Source organism: Homo sapiens, chromosome X (genome assembly GCF_000001405.40).
Source record: "Homo sapiens chromosome X, GRCh38.p14 Primary Assembly".
Taxonomy (NCBI): domain Eukaryota; kingdom Metazoa; phylum Chordata; class Mammalia; order Primates; family Hominidae; genus Homo; species Homo sapiens.
Window position 1 is genome coordinate 95678002 of NC_000023.11, and position 2182 is coordinate 95680183.

The following is a 2182-nucleotide window of genomic DNA, read 5'->3' on the forward strand; positions in this document are numbered from 1 at the left end:
TCTATATACTTCCTTCCTTGTACTAATAACTGATCACTAACTGTAATTAAATGTTTTCTTTCTTTGTTTACTTGCTTAACATCAGTCTCTCCCACTATGAGTTCTATATATATTCATAGTGATATGGTTTGGATTTGTGTCCCTGCTCAAGTCTCATGTTCGAATTGTTTTCCCCAGTGTTCGAGGTGGGGCCTGGTGGAAGGTAATTGGACCCAATAGTATACTCACTCTGAATATACATTTCATTCATTTATTTAAAAGATATATGTTAAATATACATTTGGTACCCTAAACTGCCATACTTCCTGTACAACCTGTGAAACCGTGAGCCAATTAAACCTCTTTTCTTGATAAATTACCCAGTCTTGGGTATTTCTTTATAGCAGTGTGAGAATGGACTAATACACACAGTAAGCTTGAAACCAATAATAAGTAATAAATATTATTGATGTAATTTATATTTTTGTTTAATCTTATAAGAAAACACCTGACTATGTTTGTCTTTTGTGTGTTTCCATGATAACTGACTAACTCATCTCACTGATTAAACATTATGATGATCTAACCACCGCTCCCAGGCTACCCAAACAGATACCAGCGCTTGCCTCATGGATAATCAAGATACAAATTATATCTGGCAGGAACTAAATCTCCCCTAAGGGTAGGCTTAGAGAATTTATTATTATTTCCATGATGAGCAACATAATCTTAAATTATTTTCAAGACGTTTTTGGGGAAAGATAATATTTGACATCATCAGTAAAGCAACCTATTAATTGATATAGGTATTTTCTGTATTTGTTGACACTGGATTATTGGTCACCAGCCTCTGGGCATTTGCCGATAGCAAGCTAGGTGAACCAGTTGAATACTGACTCTCAGAGCATTGCTGCAGTTCAGTGAGTCACACCCAGTGAGCATATTTAACGATGAATTAACAGCATGTTTCATGTATACAACTCGCTGGAACAAGCTAATTTCATAGTTTATATTAATATTTAACCAACCACAGTTAAACAAAACTCTCATCTATTACAGTGATTAAATTGATAGCTTTATCTCAAGTTAGATTAAAAGGTATTATTTCCTTTTTAAATCTGTGAATATACTTTATTTAGTCATTTTTGTTTACAACGGAAACTATGGGAAATCAAAATTAACATCCTTATCTGTGAGCTTCTTATAGACACCTGAAAAAGTGTCAACCTTGTGTTCCACATTGTTCTGCTGTGCTTTGACTAAATGAACCCTGATGAGCAAGCTGCCCTCCAGTTTCACACAGATTCTCTTGTCCACAACTTCACTTGGAAGACCAAGTCCTAAAGGATCACATCCTACACAGCTGTCAGAGTATGGCTCCTGGGATGCTTTTTCTTATTTATTTATATTTTTTTTGTATGGCTTTTTTTGAGTTGGCTTGGGCAGAATTCTCCTCTGAGCAATAAAGATGACATACTTCCCAATGAACTTCTCCAGTTCACGTACTAGCTGAACTTGGATTTTCTGGAAAGATTTCAGTTGAATGGGAACAAAGATTATGATCACTTTCTGACCACCACCAACTTCAGTTTCCTTGGCTGCTGTGATATTCTGCTCCCTGTGCTGAGTCTTGAGGTCCAAGTTTATCTGCAGCTCCTGAAGAGCCTGGGCCCAAACTCAAACTTGTCCTTCTCCTTGCTGAAAGTCAGCTTAGGGAGAGGCCCAAGTCTCACGAGAGCTCATCAAATTCCAAAAAGTATTATTTCATGTTCAGTATTTTCTAGTTTTGTTTTGTTTTGTTTTGTTTTTTAACTCAAGCCTTGATGTGCTCAAGATACTAGGTTTCTAACGACAATCAAAGATAAATATTGTTTGTGTATAGACATCTGTGTGTGTGTGTTTCCCTCAACTAGGAAATTGCTTTCATATGGCAGTAAAAAAGTTATTGTCTTCATCTAAGGAAGTATCCAAAGAAATCCCTATAATGGTGGCTAAGTATTAAATAGCAGATATCCTCATGCTGTAGATTTGAAAATTCTCAAGCCATATTCACCATCATCCTAGAATGTTAATGCTACATGTGTTAAATGATTATAATCAATCAGAGGTCATTTGACAAGTACTTTCTTCATTTTTTTTTAAATAAACAATATTTAAGTCTTGGCAATATGACCAGCCTAATAAAGAAATCGGAAAAAAATCA

At 35.4% G+C, this 2182-nt stretch overlaps 1 pseudogene; it reads right to left on the reverse strand.

Moving 5' to 3' along the window:
• On the reverse strand, nucleotides 1098–1730 carry RPS7P13 (ribosomal protein S7 pseudogene 13; annotated as a pseudogene).